The sequence below is a fragment of the Homo sapiens genome, chromosome 18 (genome assembly GCF_000001405.40).
Source record: "Homo sapiens chromosome 18, GRCh38.p14 Primary Assembly".
NCBI lineage: Eukaryota > Metazoa > Chordata > Mammalia > Primates > Hominidae > Homo > Homo sapiens.
In genome coordinates this window covers 22887433-22906488 of record NC_000018.10, presented here as the reverse complement: position 1 = coordinate 22906488, position 19056 = coordinate 22887433, and the positions used below count along the sequence as shown (strand labels likewise).

The 19056-nt window shown below is 37.5% G+C and overlaps 1 long non-coding RNA gene, 1 other non-coding gene and 1 pseudogene across 2 annotated transcripts in view; all 3 read left to right on the top strand.

The window, feature by feature from the left end:
• Positions 1-19056, top strand: part of RBBP8-AS1 (RBBP8 antisense RNA 1) — a 210274-nt gene that overhangs the window by 27276 nt on the left and 163942 nt on the right. The window lies entirely within an intron of this gene.
• LOC124904378 (small nucleolar RNA U13) lies at positions 4863-4965 on the top strand. The gene has a single exon (XR_007066491.1). It is a non-coding gene; the product is annotated as a small nucleolar RNA U13 (small nucleolar RNA).
• On the top strand, positions 5494-6003 carry UBE2CP2 (ubiquitin conjugating enzyme E2 C pseudogene 2; annotated as a pseudogene).

Genomic DNA, 19056 nt, shown 5'->3' with positions numbered 1-19056 from the left:
TACTATGTATGACACCAAACGAATGATTCAAGAGAACAAAATTCATAGATTTTACTTTGACAAAGTTAAGAACTTTTGATCTTCAAAAGTCATAATTAAGAAATGAAAGGATAAGCCATAGACTGGGAGAAAATATTTGCAAATGACATATCAGATAAAGGGCTTATATCAAGAATACATAAAGAAGCTGGGAGCGGTGGTCTGTGCCTGTGGTGCCAGCTACTTGGGAGGCTGAAGAGGAGGATTGCTTGAGCCCAGAAGGTCAAGGCTGCAGGGAGCTGTATTGCACCACTGTACTCCAGCCTGGGCAACAGAGTGAGATACTGTCTTAAAAAAAAAAAAAAAAAAAGCATGTTTGTATTCTGATTTATATAAGCAATTTTTCTAATGAAAAAAAAATTAGCCTGGCTTTGTGGATCAGACCTGTAATTCCAGCACTTTGGGAGGCCGTGGCGGGCAGATTACCTGAGATCAGGAGTTCAAGACCAGCCTGATCAACGTGGTGAAACCCTGCCTCTACTAACAATACAAAATGAGCCAGGCGTGGTGATGCATGCCTGTAATCCCAGCTACTAGGGAGGCTGAGGCAGGAGAATTGCTTGAACCCCAGAGGTAGAGGTTGCAGTGAGCCAAGATCACGCCATTGCACTCCAGCCTGGGCAGCAAGAGCGAAACTCCGTCTTAAAAAAAAAAAAAAATCAAACCTAGATAAAACCATTAATGAAATGCAGAAGAAATATCTAAAGAACTTTGGAGCTGGAGGTCTGTATTATGGTTCTATTCTGTCACTTTGGGTATCGTTATTGTGATTTTCAGTTTGCTTAAAATGAGGGAGTTGAAATGTTTGGCTTATAAGGTCATGTATAGCTGAAAAATTCTGTGTAAAATATGGAGAGTTCTCAAGAAACTATTATGTGGAAGATAGTGTTCTGCATTCACATTTGTAAGTGTTTTAAATAATTTTTATAGGATCAGAATAACTGATGGACCCTTACATATCTCAGTATTGTAATTAAATAATTTTGGGGGTGAGGTAACAGAATCCTATTCTCAAGGAAAATTGTAAGCAAATGTAACATAACAACTATAACTTTTATGGTTTTAGGTAAACTCAATTTTTACAAAATAATTATATTTTTAAGTAGAATTTCTGATCACAATAATTTTATTCCATATTTTTGAAATATCTAAAATATTCTACCAATTATTTTGAGTTTTACTTTTGCTATTTAGAATGATAAAGAAAAGCCCAGTTGGCTATCTTTCTGTATATAATTACATCATTTTTGAGATTTGAGAGGATTTATTTTTGTTAATACTAGTTTACAATACCTCCAAGAGTAAAAATCTATTTGAGATAATTCTGATAAGCATTATTAGTTTAAGAAATTACATGATACAATATATCAGTCTAGCAAAGTCATACTTGTATTCCATGAATATATACAAATAAAAATAAATTAAAATTTAAATTTAAAAATAGATTAATAAAACAAAATTTAAAAAAGAAATTGCATAATAGTGGTCAAAAAATGTCTGAAACCAAAGTAGAAGTCATTATCTCAGTTAAGAAAAGGATCATCTACACACGATTAAAGTAAGTTAATATTAGCTTATAATCCCCACACTTCGGAAAGCTGAGGCTGGAGGATTGCTTGAGGCCAGGAGTTTGAGAGCAGACTGGACAACATAGAGAAATGTGTCTCTACTAAAAATAAACAAAAAATTTTTTTAAAAAGTGAGTTAACATTAAATTAGAAAAATTATTTAGGCCCTGTTAACATGACCTTGGAGATATGACAGCCATGCAAATATAAGTGGTTGTCCCCAGGTACAGTATATATCCTTAATGCCATCTAAATGGGATACGAATCAGAACATAATAAAAATAATTATACATAAAAAATTGAAATACTATAAAGCTATAGCTAAATTGTGGCTCTACGTTAACTACCAACCCCTTCAACAGCAACAGCATATTTTAAAACCCTTTGTCCTGGTTCTAATCAGAGTTCTTGACTTTTTGGCCTTCTGTGGTGTCACTGGCCAGTCTTCTTCTGTGTCTCAAGTTGGTTCATTCTGAATGGGTCACTTTCCTTTTTTTTTTGAGACAGAGTCTCACTCTGTTGCCCAGGCTGGAGTGCAGTGGCACGATCTTGGCTCACTGCAACCTCCGCCCTCCAAGTTCAAGCAATTCTCCTGCCTCAGCCTCCCGAGTAGCTGGGATTACAGGTGCCTGCCACTGTGCCTGGCTAACTTTTTGTATTTTTAGTAGAGATGGGGTTTCACAATCTTGGTCAGGCTGGTCTTGAACTCCTGACCTCATGATCCACCTGCCTTGGCCTCCCAAAGTGCTGGGATTATAGGTGTGAGCCACCTATAATCAGCGCCCTGCCCTGAATGGGTCACTTTCTTTAAGCTGATATATAAAATCTAGAAAGTTCTAAGCCTGTCTTGGAAGTTGATAAATTACAGATTTTTAGGGAGGCTTCTTCATAATAATAACTAGCATTTTCAGAAGTTTGCCACTTTGACGTACTTTTTTTTGAGACAGAGTCTCACTCTGTCACCCAGGCTGGAGTGCAGTGGCACAATCTTGGCTCACTGCAACCTCCACCTCCCAGGTTCAAGCGATTCTCATGTCTTGGCCTCCTGAGCAGCTGGGACTACAGGCGTGTACCACCACACCTGGCTAACTTTTACATTTTTAGTAAAGATGGGGTTTGACTATATTGGCCAGGCTGTTCTTGAACTCCACAAGTGATCTGCCTGCCTCAGCCTCCCAAAGTGCTAGGATTACAGGTGTGAGCCACTACGCTCAGCTGAAGTACTTTTTATATAGTGATGTGGTTTGGCTCTGTCCCCACCCAAATCTCATCTTGAATAGTAACTCCCATAATTCCCATGTGTCATGGGAGGAACCCAGTGGGAGGTGATTGAATTATGGGTGTGGGTCTTTTGTGCACTGTTCTCATGATAGTGAATGAGTCTCGAGATCTGATGATTTTAAAAAAAGAGTTTCCCTGCACAAGCTCTCTCTTTGCCTGTTGCCATCCATGTAAGATGTGACTTGCTCCTCCTTGCTTTTCACCTTCTGCCATGATTGTGAGGCCTCCCCAACCTCGTGGAACTGTAAGTCCAATAAACCTCCTTCTTGGGTATGTCTTTATCAGCAGCATGAAAATGGACTAATTCATATAGTAACTCATTTAATTCTCACAAAGCATTGAGGTAAGTATTATTTAGAGATGAAGAAATAGTTACAGAGGTTGGCAGCCTAGTTCTAGAAGTCATGTGTTTTAACCATTACATTATACTGCCTTAGAGATGAACTAGATTTTGTCCTTACATTGATATTATATTATTTTAGCTACTTTTGTAACAAGTATAAACTTGTTATTGTTGAAGTAATTACCTTTTAAGTTCCCTCCAATAATGTACCTTCTCTTCTCTGCCACTCAGTGGGAAGAAAGGGTCTTATAGTCAACTCCCCTTAAAAAAAAGTCTCCCCCAACTGCTCAGAAGTCATTTATTCTGTATTAGTATTTTCCAAATGTATTTGACCTCAAAACATTCTTTTTTATAGCATACTTATTAACCCCTACCTAATAGTGAGTGAAGTATTCTATGTGACACTAGTTTGGAAAAATGAGGCAGTACTTTTATTCACTGTATTGTTGTGGTATAAATGTCCCCCCTGGAATAGCAGCCCAGATTAAAACTTCTAATAACTGTCTGGTTTTGCTATTTATTTATGATGTCCTTTGATATGTATATTATATAAATCCTAGTTAAAATTATTTTAATCACAAATGAAACTAACATGAGCTACTTTAACCAACAACAAGAAAGGGAGATTTATTTTGAGGCTATAAAGTTATCCCAAGAGGAATATAGGGATGTGGGTATTTCAAAAGCAGGGAGTCAGTCTGGCCAAATGAGGAATTAGAACCAGAAAATAGCCTTATAACTCTCATTCTCTCTCTCTAGGGTCACTTGGTCTTTCATTTCTGCATCTATCTGCAAGTCTACTTCATCTTTCTTTGCAGTTCCAAGTGTCAGCTAAAATATCCTAGTGCTTTGAGATTTAGATAATATTGGCATGAACCATATTTCATACCTTGTGGGGCTCATGTGGCTTCTGTGAGATTTCTACAAATTTCTGAATGAGAGGGCAGTGAGATAAGGGGGTGGAGGAATGCCAGGTTGATATTCTCATGGTCACCTCTGGCTGTGGGTTTCTGTTTCCATATGTAATAGATTTTGTTGAAGGTTTGGGGGTTTATATCATAGGAATATAATCAGAATTTCCTGTTGGGGGTACTTTCAGACCCTCCTGAGAAAATTCTTTTGGCCCTTTGTCCAAAAAGTCCCTACACTTCAAATTTTCTTACTGACTTCTTTCTCTTTCTTTCCTCTTCTTTCCTGGAGACAGAAAAAACAGTTTTCTTCTGGTGCCATCCAGAGTAGTTTTACCATCTGCTTTGTTTCTGTGGCTTCTGACACCTATTCCCTCAGGGTCTTACCTTCTATCCCAAGCATCTCAAACAAGGATGTGTCCCTTTATGGTTGTGTTAGTTTGCTAGGGCTAACTAGCAAATTTATTTTCTCACAGTTCTGGAGGTTAAAAGTCTGAGATTAGGTTATCAGCAGGGTTGTCTTCTTCTGAGGGCCGTGAAGGAAGGATCTGTTCCAGGCTTCTTCTTGGTTTGTAGATGGAAATGATCTCCCTGCCCCTTCACATTTCCTTCCCCCTGTATGTGTGTGTGTCCACATTTCCACATCTTAGTAAGGACACTGGTCATGTTGGATTAGGGCCCATCCTAATGACTTCACTTTAATTACCTCTGTAAAGAACCTAGGTTCTTTTGTGTTTCATAAAGTAATGATTGTGTTTTCACATTATTGTGTGAGGTGTGCCTCCCTCAGACCTTGATACCAGTCTGCACATTACCTGATGTGAAGAAGTTTAAAAAATGACCCTATCTCTAAATTCAGTTACATTCTGAGGTACTAAGGGCTAGGACTTCTACATAAGAATTTTTGGGGCAGGGACGTAATTCAGCCTATAGTGCTGGTAGTTTTTGTTAAGATAATACATATTTGCCCATGTTACTTTTGCTTCACAGTGTTTATGGTTCGGAGCGGGGGCGGGGGGTGGGGGGACGTTCTCCCTGAAGCAAATTAGTTTAAGCAAGCAGCCTTAGCTGATTAGAATTGGGTCTCAATTCCACATCTCCAGGAGGAAGAATCAGATTAACAGTGGTTAGATTATGTATCCACTTCAGAACACTCACTTTTGGCCAGGGATCAGGTTTTCTCATACAGTAAGGCTGATGGGATCCATCCTTGTTGACTAGAAACAGTTTTCAGTGAAATGAGACAATTAGGAGCTGGCTAGTCCACTTAAGCATTTCATCTACCATTAAAAAAAAAAGTAGGCAGTTGCAGTCATGCTCTCTGAGTTCCTGTCTCCCTGCCAGTGCTGCCTGGATGGCCTGCCAAAACTGCAACACAGCTGCCACCAGCATTGCTGCCCATAAAGGAGCAGAGTGCAGCAGTGGGTACGGCAGGATACAGCAAGAGCTGAAGACCCTTGTGATCTCTGGCAACAAAGGAATTTCTGCCTTACCTGCATCAGACAACCTTTTGAAATCAGTAGGACCATCCCTGAAGCAGCTGGCACAGAAGACCTGAGATGTAAGGTTTCCCTGGAGTTCCCCAGTGGCTACCCATACAACATGCCCTTGGTTAAGTTCCTCACGCCCTGCTACTATCTCAACGTGGACGCCCAGTGTTAACACCTGTCTGGACATCCTGAAGGACGAGTGGTCTGCCCTGTATGATGTCAAGAACACCCTGCACTCCATCCACAGCCTGCTAGTAGAACTCAACATCAATAGCCTTTTGAACACACATGCTGCTGAGCTCTAGAAAAACTCCACAGCTTTTAAGAAATATCTGCAAGAAATCTACTCAAAGCACGTCTCCAGGAAGGAGCCCTAACTCGGGCTGCCCAACCTCTCCTTGTGTTGTCTCTTCATTTTTCCCTTAGATGGTCTGTCTTTGCTTGATTTCTGTATAGGACTCTGTATCTTGAGCTGTGGTGTTATTTTTGTTTTGTTTCTGTTTTTTATTTTTTATTTTATTTTTGAGACAGGGTCTTGCTCTAACAGGCTGGAGTGCAATGGCATGATCACGGCTCACTGTAGCCTCGATCTCCTAGGCTCAATCAATCCTGCCACCTCAGCCTCCTGAGCAGCTGGAACCACAGGTGTAAGCCACAGTGCCAGGCTAATTTTTAATTTTTTTTTGTAGATATGGGGTCTCCCTGTATTATCCAGGCTGTCCTGGAACTCCAGGGATCAAGAGATTCTCTTACCTTGTCCTCCCAAAGTGCTGGGATTACAGGCATGAGCCATGACATTTTGCCCATTTCTGTTTTTAAAATTAAGTCTCTGATTGAGCTCTTGTGATGTATATTAAATAAATACATTTTGTTTATTTTTGTAAAAAGAAATTGTAAATTAAAATTTATTTAGAATAGAAAAGGAAAGAGCATTATGGTATATTTTCTAATTTTAGTGGCTAAAACCAATTTCAATAGTAGAATATACTCTTAAGAATGTATACTTAGAAAAGAATGTATTACTTAGAAAATGCTATGATTGATCAAAACTTAAAAGAAAAATAACTTGAAATGGTTATTTTATATCTGTATTTAATGATGAAGTAATTGGTATACTTAAACTTCTAATATGAAGCCATAGAACTACAAAGCAAGATGAACTTATGGTTAAATATGCAACTTGCTTTGTCTGAAATTACCCAAGTACTATACAGGTGCTAATGAATTCTCCAACTTGAGAAGACATGTAGTGAAAATTGCATCACTCTTTGGTCCTGTGTGCTGCTGTAAGCAGTGATTTTTTTTTTTTTTTTTGCCTACCTATAGTTTTTTTCTTTAAGTTACTGCCTTGTGCCAAATTAAGAGATATGAATTTGCAAATAGCTTCATTTTATGTGCCAGCAGTAATTAGACTCACAAGGAAAAGTAACCTCAGCTACATTTACAAAAGTTAGTATTTTATATTTCATTCACTGGATACATGTGTCACTATAACTTATTGAAAATTTTCTGTGACATATTTTAGAGATTTCCTTCGTCTGAGAGTGTCGTGATCAGTGTCTTTAATGCCAGAGAAGTCATAATTGGCTGGAAACATGGCTGGAGGTCACATTTTCTAAGTAGGAACATGCTATTACTTCTGGCCTGGAAAGTAGTGGCAAACTTTTATATATCTCCCTACCCCACTTTCCCCGCTCAGTATTAGAGTAGTCGTATTAAGAGTTTGAATTTCAAAATGAGAAAGACCTGAGTTAAAATCCCAGTTCAACCATGTACTAATTGTAAGATCTTAGGTAAGTTATTGGGCTTCTGAGTGTAGTTTCTTCATCTGTAAAAAGGAATGATAAGATTATTACAAGGATTAAACGGGATAATATTTGCGATATGCTTAGCAAGAGCTTGACACATAGTAAGTGTTTTAAAAGTAGTAACAATAACTAAAATAATATTAATCGTAATTTTCAAGGCCAGGTCTGGGGAAACAAAGTTGCATGGGCCATGGTCATTATTTTCAAGAAACTCAATAGACTAACGGAGTATGTGACTCAAAAAGCATCACTGTAGAAGGGTAGGAGTATTATGGAGATGTTGCTTAAAGGGCACAAAATTTCAGTTAGACAAGAGGAATATGTTCTATTTTACCTCATGGTGATTATCATGTGATCTGTTTTACCTCATGGTGATTATCATTAATAACGATAGACTGGATATTTGAAAATTGCTGAGAGTAGACTTTAAGTGTTCTTATCACCAAAAAATGGTATGTGAAGTAAATGGCTTGATTTAATCATTACACAATATGTACATACATCAAAACATCATGTTGTACACCAAAAATACATACAATGTTTATCAATTTAAAATGGTATCACTGTAAATGTATCATTATATTGGAAATGTACTTGGTACTGGATAGTTGGTTCTTGGTATTTCCATGAAATGCTGTGTTACTGTTTTTAAAAATTACCTATAAAAATTTTTTTTCTTAACTTTGGATTTTAAGAACTTTATACTTAGAACAAAGTATTGTAAATGACTCGTTAGAACTGTAGGTATTGGCATTCTCTGTCCTGGTCTTAGTTCTGTTTCAGCCCCACAGCTGTTGGGCTCTTTCTTAGGTACCAAGAAGACAGCCAAGTGGGCATGATATCCAAATAATGGGCCATATTCACCCTAGAAGATGAGTTTTGGTCAAGATGGGAGGTTGAGAGGAAGGACCAGAATATGAGATGCAAACTCAGGAAATCTATCCAAAATTGAGGCAAAGAAAAACAGGATCAAGTCATTCAGTTGATACCCAAGGCCAGGATTCCTCCAGGCACCTGTACCTTGGAAAAGAGGGACCAGAGAAACTTCAGGAACTCAAGAGATCTGGGTAGGAGCTCAAGCTGGGAGCCTGACATTTGCAAGAGCAGTATCTAACCAGGGGGTAGGGTAGAGTGAGAGAGGTGGAGAGAACAGCACTTTCAGTGTTCTAAGCGGGCTCTAAACCTTTTTTGATTGTTGATCTTTATTTATTTATTTATTTATTCATTCATATATTATACACATGTACACAATTACATCTTAGTTCAATGAATAATAAAGTTCATTGTTACTGATAATTGCAATTTTTTCAAATAGTTTAAAAAATAATTTTAAATTATTTTGATTAGCTTCTTTCCAGACTTGATTATATTGTTACTGTTTTTAAATAAAAATGGGGCTGATGGAGATTGTGCTATTTTCTTGTTTGGTATTGTGTGTGCATTGTTCCATTACCTTCAATTTGCCTTTTCTTTGCCTTTTAAAGCCATTGTGTGAGAGTGAATTTAGTAATCCATAAGTGCACTTAATTGGGCACATATAGGTAGAAATATATTGCCATACACTGAAACTCAGTGAAAATTTAAGATATCTTATTTACTCTTTCTATTTGAAAACACCTGCTCTTCCCTCTGGTTTCTTCGCATATCATGTGGAACATGTATCTTTTCCTAACATTCGTAGAATAAACAGTCACAATATAATCCTTCTATTTTTCTGAACTGATAACAGAAGAAGTTGGGAGAAGTTAAGAATGTACTACTTTGTTTCTTATAAGAAAGAAAAGAGAGACAGATTGATGTATAGAGCTGCAGAGAAGAGGAGAAAAGTGGAGGTTAAAGAGATGTGGGCAATTACTAGAGGTGGCAAGTTTTGGGATAAAGATACAAATATCAGATCTTTTGAGGAAGTTTTACTATTTGAAATTGAAGTAGCCTATCCTCCATACCTTTTATTCTGGTTACGTATTTTGACTAAATAAAAATGCTGCATTCTTTTAAACTCTAAATGACAGAGTGCAGCAGTATACACTAAAAATATCTTTTCTTGCTTCTTCCTTATCTAAATCCTGTCATGCTCAAGATCCGCCTTTTCCAGGTAACCTATGCCAGACTCCAGGCTGTATTTTCTAGAAATGCCAGCAACAATATCTCCCATCCTGAATGCTTTTTTATACAGTAACCTTGGCACTCTTTCCATCCCTGAAAAGGCTATACAGATGCAGATAAGTACATAAAAGGATCACTAGCCATTAGCAAAGTGGAAATTAAAAATACAATAAGATATTTTTAAGATAATTATTATAACAGCTAAAATTTAAAAATTACGATACCACCAAATACTGGTGAGAATGCGCAGAAATTGGATCTTTCATACATTGCTGATGGGAATATAAAATAGTGCAGCTACTGTGGAAAATGGTTTGGCAGTTTCTTAAAAAACTAAACACACTTTGGAGTTTGAGACCAGCCTGGCCAACATGGTGAAACCACATCTCTTACTAAAAATACAAAAATTAGCTGGGCATGGTGGTACACACCTCTAATCCCAGCTACTCAGGAGGCTGAGGCAGGAGAATTCCTTGAACCCGGGAGGTGGAGGTTGCACTGAGCTGAGATCATGCCACTGCACTCCAGCCTGGGTGACAAAGACTCCCTCTTGGAAAACAAACAAACAAAACAAAACAAAAAGCTAAACATAACATATGATCCAGCATTGTATCCCTTGGTATTTACCCAAAGGGGTTGAAAACTTGTGTTCGTACAAAAATCCTTACACAGATGTTTATGGCAGCCTAATTTATAATAGCTCCAAACCAGAAACATTAAAATGTTCTGCAATAAGTGAATAATGATGGGAGCAGTGAATACTACAGGGAATACTACTTAATAAAAAGGAATGAACTGTTGATACACAAAATCATTTAGATGGCTCTCATTATGCTAAGTGAAAAACACCAATCTCAAAAGGTCACATGTTGTATAATTTTGTTTATATAATGTTCTCAAAATTACAAAATTATAGAGGTGGAGAACAAATTAGTGTTTGCCAGGGGTTTAGCATGGGGAGGTGGTGTGATTGTAAAGGGGTAGCATGAGGGAGATCTTTGTGGTGATAGTTCTGTATCTTAATTTTAGAGGTGGTGAGTGATAAATGGCACAGAAAAATGACAATGTCAATTTCCTGGTTTTAAGTAACTATAAGTACTAGGATGTATCTATTGGGGAAGCTAGCAGGTACATGAAAACTTCATGTACTATCTTTGCAATTTCATTTGAATCTTTAATTATTTCCACATACACAGTTAAAAAACTACAAGAGATTGAAAACTTCTTGTACTATCTTTGCAATTTCGTTTGAATCTTTAATTATTTCCACATACAAAGTTAAAAAAAACAAGAGATTAAATTTAGATTAGACCCTCATCAGCCTTTGTCTCCACTCCTTCCCTGCTCCTGGAAAAAGCAGCAGAAGGGCATGGGCAGGGCACACCAAAAATATGTTATAATTTCTCTTGTGAGTTTTTTTTGACCCCAGTATTAAGTAGAATTGTGTTATTTAATTTCCAGATATTTGTAGATTTTCTAGATATCTTATGATTAATTTCTAATTTAATTCCATTGTATAACATCTTACGCTTTTTAACTTTTTTTTTTTTTTAATAATACTTTAAGTTCTGGGGTACATGTGTAGAACATGCAGTTTTGAAACATAGGTATACACATGCCATGGTGATTTGCTGCATCAACCCGTCACCTACATTAGGTAATTCTCCTAATGCTATTCCTCCCCTAGCCCCCCACCCCCCGACAGGCCCCGGTGTATGATGTTCCCCTCTTTGTGTCCATGTGTTCTCATTGTTCAACTCCCACTTATGAGTGAGAACATGAGGTGTTTGGTTTTCTGTTCTTGTGATAGTTTGCTGAGAATGGTGGTTTCCAGCTTCATCCATGTCCCTGCAAAGGACACGAACTCATCCTTTTTATGGCTGCATAGTATTCCATGGTGTGTATGTGCCACATTTTCTTTATCCAGTCTATCATTGATGGACATTTGGGTTGGTTCCAAGTCTTTGCTATTGTGAATAGTGCCACAGTAAACATATGTGTGCATGTGTCTTTATAGTAGAATGATTTATAATCCTTTGGGTATATACCCAGTAATGGGATTGCTGAGTCAAATGGTGTTTCTAGTTCTAGATCCTTGAGGAATTGCCACACTGTCTTCCATAATGGTTGAACTAATTTACACTCCCACCAATGGTGTAAAAGCGATCCTGTTTCTTCACATCCTCTCCAGCATCTGTTGTTTCCTGACTTTTTAATGATTGCTATTCTAACTGGTGTGAGATGGTATCTCATTGTGGTTTTGATTTGCATTTCTGTAATGACAAGTGATGATGGGCATTTTTTCATATCTTTGTTGGCTGCATAAATGTCTTCTTTTGAGAAGTGTCTGTTCATATCCTTTGCCCACTTTTTGATGGGGTTATTTTTTTCTTGTAAATGTGTTTAAGTTCTTTGTAGATTCTGGATTAAAATTAGCCTTTTGTCAGATGGATAGATTGCAAAAATTTTCTCCCATTCTGTAGGTTACGTGTTCCCTCTGATGATAGTTTCTTTTGCTGTGCAGAAGCTCTTTAGTTTAATTAGATCCCATTTGTCAGTTTTGGCTTTTGTTTCCAGTGCTTTTGGTGTTTTAGACATGAAGTCCTTGCCCATGCCTATGTCCTGAATGGTATTGCCCAGGTTTTCTTCTAGGATTTTTATGGTTTTAGGTCTTATGTTTAAGTCTTTAATCCATCTTGAGTTAATTTTTCTATAAGATTTAAGGAAGGGGTCCAGTTTCAGTTTTCTGCATATGGCTAGCCAGTTTTCCCAACACCATTTATTAAATAGGGGATCTTTCCCCCATTGCTTGTTTGTGTCAGGTTTGTCAAAGATCTGATGGTTGTAGATGTGTGGTGTTAATTTCTGAGGTTTCTGTTCTGTTCCATTGGTCTATATATCTGTTTTGATAGTAGTACCATGCTGTTTTGACACTAGTACCATGCTGTTTTGGTTACTGTAGCCTCGTAGTATAGTTTGAAGTCAGGTAGCATGATGCCTCCAGCTTTGTTCTTTTGGCTTAGGATTGTCTTGGCTATGCAGGCTCTTTTTCGGTTCCATATGAAGTTTAAAGTAGAAACTTTTTATTGAGAATGTATAGCTTAGTATATATGAGTATTTTACCTTAGTGAATTTACTATGTACGTTTGAGTAGAATGCACATTCTGCAGTTGTTGGCTGAGTGTTTTATAAATATTAATTAGGTAAATATTATTGATCATTTATTTCCTTGCCGACTTTTTTGCCTAATTGTTATCAGTTAATGAGATAGAGCTATTATAATCTCTAATATTATTTGTAGATTTGCCTATTAATATTCCTTCCTGTATTTCTATTAATATTTGCCCAATGAATTTTGATGTTCTTCTTAAGTACATACGTATTTATTTTATTTTTTGAGACAAGGCATCACTCTGTTGCCCAAGCTGGAGTGCAGTGGCATGATCATAGCTCGCTGTAACCTCAAATTCCTGTGCATTAAGTGATCCTCCTGAGTAGCTATGACTACAGGTATGTGCCACCATGCCTGTCTAATTTTTAAATTTTTGTAGAGATATGGTCTCACTGTGTTGCCCAGGCTGCTCTTGAACTCCTTGAATCAAATAATCCTCTTGTCTTAGCTTCCCAAAGTGCTGGTATTACAGGCATGAGCTACCATGTCCAGTCTACATAGATATTTAGATTGTTAGGTCTTCCTGATGAATTGTTCTTTTTATCATTGTGAAATTTCCTGCTGTATCCTTTGTAATATTCTTTATCTTGAATCCTACTTTGTCTAATATTAATATTGTCATATCAGTTCCCATTTTCATCATGTTTATTTTTCCATTCTTTTACTTTCAGTGACTTTGTGTCATATACTTTTTATCTCTGCTCTTCACAGTGTATAATTTCTATTGACCTACGTTCACATTCACTGACTCTTTCAGTTGCCATATCCAAAATGCTATTATGCTCATTTACTGAATTTTTCATTTCAGTTATTATATAGTTTTCGGTTTAGGACCTCCATTTAATTCATTTAAAAAAAATAATAGCCTTACAGGAAATATTTAATATAATGTAATTCACTCGTTTAACATGTACAATTCAACGACTTTTAGTATATTTACAGATATATACAAGCACAACCACGTTCATTTTTAGAACATTTTCATCACATCAGAAAGAAACCCTATAGTTATCACTCCTAATTTTTTCCCCAATCCCTAGGCAACACTAATCTACTTTCCATCTCCATAGATTTACCTATTCTGGACATTTAATACAAATTAAATCATATAATATGTGATCTTTTGTGTCTGGCTTTTTTTCACTTAGCAAAATGTTTTCAAGGTTCATTGATATAGTATGCATCTGAACTTCATTCTTTTATATTGCCAAATAATATTTAATTAGATATGCCACATTTTGTTTATCCATTTGTCTGTTGATGGACATTGGGTTGTTTCCATCCTTAACTATAATAAATAATACTGCTATAAACATTTGCATTCAAGTTTTTGTGTGGACATATATTTTTATTTCTCCAAGATAGATACCTAGGAGTGAAATTACTAAATTATATGATAACTCTATGTTTAACTGAGTAACTGCTGGACTGTTTTCCAAAGTGGCTATACCATTTTACATTTCCACCAGCAGTGTATATGGATTCCGATTTCTCCAGTTGTTATCTGACATTTTTACTTTAGCCATCCTACTGAGTGTGAAGAAGTATCTCATCGTGGTTTTGATTTGCATTTCCCTGATGGCTAATGATGTGGAGTATCTTCATGTATATATTGACCATTTGGTTTAGATGTACTATTTTGAATATTTTGCTTTTCTTGACTATAGGCCACATTTTCTTATTTGTTCCTTGACTCAGGGTCTTATAAAGATAAAAATTCAGTTATTGGCTGGTCTGTGTTGTCAGCTAGAGCTCTGGGTCCTCTTCCAAGTTCATGTGGTTGTGGCAGAATTCAGTTCCCTGTGGTTGTATGACTGAAATCCCCATTTCCTTGCTGCCTGTAATTAGGGACCACTCTCAGCTCCTAGAGTTTCTTGCCACATAGCCCTCTCCATTTTAAAGCTAGTAATGGGGAACATTTTATGCATTAAATCTCCCTCATGCTTTGACTCTCTGGCTTCTTCTGGCCCACATGGATAACTTCCTTATCTACAGTCAACTGATTTAGGATATCTACAAAATTCCTTTTCAGGAGTACCTAAATTTGTGTTTGACTGCATAACTGGACAAAGGTGTGTGTACACTAGGGACTGGAAATGTTAGGGCCATCTTCAAATTCTGCTTATGACAATTAGTGTAGCTCCACCAGCGTTTAATTTTGGTAGTGACAGCCTAGTGTATTTTTTTCTATAATAGTAACTTTTCTGTGCTCTCAGGTTTAAATGTCTTCTTAACAGCAGATTAACAGCTGGATTTTTAAAATTATACTTTAAGTTCTAGGGTACATGTGCACAATGTGCAGGTTTGTTACATATGTATACATGCGCCATGTTGGTGTGCTGCACCCATTAACTCGTCATTTACATTAGGTATATCTCCCAATGCTATCCCTCTCTGCTCCCCCGACCCCACGACAGGCCCCGGTGTGTGATGTTCCCCTTCCTGTGTCCAAGTGTTCTCATTGTTCAATTCCACCTATGAGTGAGAACATGCGGTGTTTGGTTTTTTGTCCTTGCGATAGTTTGCTGAGAATGATGGTTTCCAGCTTCATCCATGTCCCTACAAAGGACATGAACTCATCCTTTTTTATGGCTGCATAGTATTCCATGGTGTGTATGTGCCACATGTTCTTAATCCAGTCTATCATTGATGGACATTTGGGTTGGTTCCAAGTCTTTGCTATTGTGAATAGTGCTGCAATAAACGTACGTGTGCACGTGTCTTTATAGCAGCATGATTTATAATCCTTTGGGTATATACCCAGTAATGGGATTGCTGGGTCAAATGGTATTTCTAATTCTAGATCCTTGAGGAAATGCCACACTGTCTTCCACAATGGTTGAACTAGTTTACAGTCCCACCAACAGTGTCAAAGTGTTCCTATTTCTCCACATCCTCTCCAGCACCTGTTGTTTCCTGACTTTTTAATGATCGCCATTCTAACTGGTGTGAGATGGTATCTCATTGTGGTTTTGATTTGCATTTCTCTGATGGCCAGTGATGGTGAGCATTTTTTCATGTGTCTGTTGGCTGCATAAATGTCTTCTTTTGAGAAGCGTCTGTTCATATCCTTCGCCCACTTTTTGATGGGGTTGTTTGTTTTTTTCTTGTAAATTTGTTGGAGTTCTTTGTAGATTCTGGATATTAGCCCTTTGTCAGATGAGTAGATTGCAAAAATTTCCTCCCATTCTGTAGGTTGCCTGTTCACTCTGATGGTAGTTTCTTTTGCTGTGCAGAGGCTCTTTAGTTTAATTAGATCCCATTTGTCAATTTTGGCTTTTGTTTCCATTGCTTTTGGTGTTTTAGACATGAAGTCCTTGCCCATGCCTATGTCCTGAATGGTATTGCCTAGGTTTTCTTCTAGGGTTTTTATGGTTTTAGGTCTAACATTTAAGTCTTTAATCAATCTTGAATTAATTTTTGTATAAGGTGTAAGGAAGGGATCCAGTTTTAGCTTTCTACATATGGCTGGCCAGTTTTCCCAGCACCATTTATTAAATAGGGAATCCTTTCCCCATTTCTTGTTTTTGTCAGGTTTGTCAAAGATCAGATGGTTGTAGATGTGTGGTATTATTTCTGAGGGCTCTGTTCTGTTCCATTGGTCTATATCTCTGTTTTGGTACCAGTACCATGCTGTTTTGGTTACTGTAGCCTTGTAGTATAGTTTGAAGTCAGGTAGCATGATGCCTCCAGCTTTGTTCTTTTGGCTTAGGATTGTCTTGGCAATGTGGGCCGTTTTTTGGTTCCATATGAACTTTAAAGTAGTTTTTTCCAATTCTGTGAAGAAAGTCATTGGTAGCTTGATGGGGATGGCATTGAATCTATAAATTACCTTGGGCAGTATGGCCATTTTCACGATATTGATTCTTCCTATCCATGAGCATGGAATGTTCTTCCATTTGTTTGTGTCCTCTTTTATTTCGTTGAGCAGTGTTTTGTAGTTCTCCTTGAAGAGGTCGTTCACATCTCTTGTAAGTTGGATTCCTAGGTATTTTATTCTCTTTGAAGCAATTGTGAATGGGAGTTCACTCATGATTTGGCTCTCTGTTTGTCTGTTATTGGTGTATAAGAATGCTTGTGATTTTTGCACATTGATTTTGTATCCTGAGACTTTGCTGAAGTTGCTTATCAGCTTAAGGAAATTTTGGGCTGAGACAATGGGGTTTTGTAAATATACAATCATGTCATCTGTAAACTGGGACAATTTGACTTCCTCTTTTCCTAATTGAATACCCTTTATTTCTTTCTCCTGCGCCTGATTGCCCTGGCCAGAACTTCCAACACTATGTTGAATAGGAGTGGTGAGAGAGGGCATCCCTTTCTTGTGCCAGTTTTCAAAGGGAATGCTTCCAGTTTTTGCCCATTCAGTATGATATTGGCTGTGGGTTTGTCATAAATAGCCCTTATTATTTTGAGATACGTCCCATCAATACCTAATTTTTTGAAAGTTTTTAGCCTGAAAGGCTGTTGAATTTTGTCAAAGGCCTTTTCTGCATCTATCGAGATAATCACGTGGTTTTTGTTGTTGGTTCTGTTTATATGCTGGATTACGTTTATTGATTTGCGTATGTTGAACCAGCCTTGCATCCCAGGGATGAAGCCCACTTGATCATGGTGGATAAGCTTTTTGATGTGCTGCTGGATTCGGTTTGCCAGTATTTTATTGAGGATTTTTGCATCGATGTTCATCAGGGATATTGGTCTAAAATTCTCATTTTTTGTTATGTCTCTGTCAGGCTTTGGTATCAGGATAATGCTGGCCTCATAAAATGAGTTAGGGAGGATTCCCTCTTTTTCTATTGATTGGAATAGTTTCAGAAGGAATGGTACCAGCTCCTCCTTGTACCTCTGGTAGAATTCGGCTGTGAATCTGTCTGGTCCTGGCCTTTTTTTGGTTGGTAGGGTATTAATTGTTGCCTCAATTTCAGAGCCTGTTATTGGTCTATTCAGAGATTCAACTTCTTCCTGGTTTAGTCTTAGGAGGTTGTATGTGTTCAGGAATTTATCGATTTCTTCTAGATTTTCTAGTTTATTTGTGCAGAGGTGTTTATAGTATTCTCTGATGGTAGTTTGTATTTCTGTGGGATGGGTGGTGATATCCCCTTTATCATTTTTTATTGTGTCTATTTGATTCTTCTCTCTTTTCTTCTTTATTAGTCTTGCTAGTGGTCTATCAATTTTGTTGATCTTTTCAAAAAACCAGCTCCTGGATTCATTGAGTTTTTGAAGGGCTTTTTGTGTCTCTATCTCCTTCAGTTCTGCTCTGATCTTAGTTATTTCTTGCCTTCTGCTAGCTTTTGAATGTGTTTGCTCTTGCTTCTCTAGTTCTTTTAATTGTGATGTTAGGGTGTCAATTTTAGATCTTTTCTGCTTTCTCTTGTGGGCATTTAGTGCTGTAAATTTCCCTCTACACACTGCTTTAAATGTGTCCCAGAGATTCTGGTATGTTGTGTCTTTGTTCTCATTGGTTTCAAAGAACATCTTTATTTCTGCCTCCATTTCGTTATGTACCCAGTAGTCATTCAGGAGCAGGTTGTTCAGTTTCCAGGTAGTTGATCAGTTTTGAGTGGGTTTCTTAATCCTGAGTTCTAATTTGATTGCACTGTGGTCTGAGAGGCAGTTTGTTATAATTTCTGTTCTTTTACATTTGCTGAGGAGTGCTTTACTTCCAACTATGTGGTCAATTTTGGAATAAGTGCGGTGTGGTGCTGAGAAGAATGTATATTCTGTTGACTTGGGGTGGAGAGTTCTGTAGATGTCTATTAGGTCCGCTTGGTACAGAGCTGAGTTCAATTCCTTGATATCCTTGTTAACTTTCTGTCTCATTGATCTGTCTAATGTTGACAGTGGGGTGTTAAAGTCTCCCATTATTATTGTGTGGGAGTCTAAGTGTAGTTCTCTAAGGACTTGCGTTATGAATCTGGGTGCTCCTGTATTGGGTGCATATACATTTAGGATAGTTAGCTCTTCTTGTTGAATTGATCCCTTTACCGTTATGTAATGGCCTTCTTTGTCTCTTTTGATCTTTGTTGGTTTAAAGTCTGTTTTATCAGAGACTAGGATTGCAACCCCTGCCATTTTGAGTCTTCCATTTGCTTGGTAGATCTTCCTCCTTCCCTTTATTTTGAGCCTATGTGTGTCTCTGCATGTGAGATGGGTCTCCTGAATACAGCACACTGATGGGTCTTGACTCTTTATCCAATTTGCCAGTCTGTGTCTTTTAATTGGAGCATTTAGCCCATTTACATTTACGGTTAATATTGTTATGTGTGAATTTGATCCTGTCATTATGATGTTAGCTGGTTATTTTGCTCGTTAGTTGATGCAGTTTCTTCCTAGCC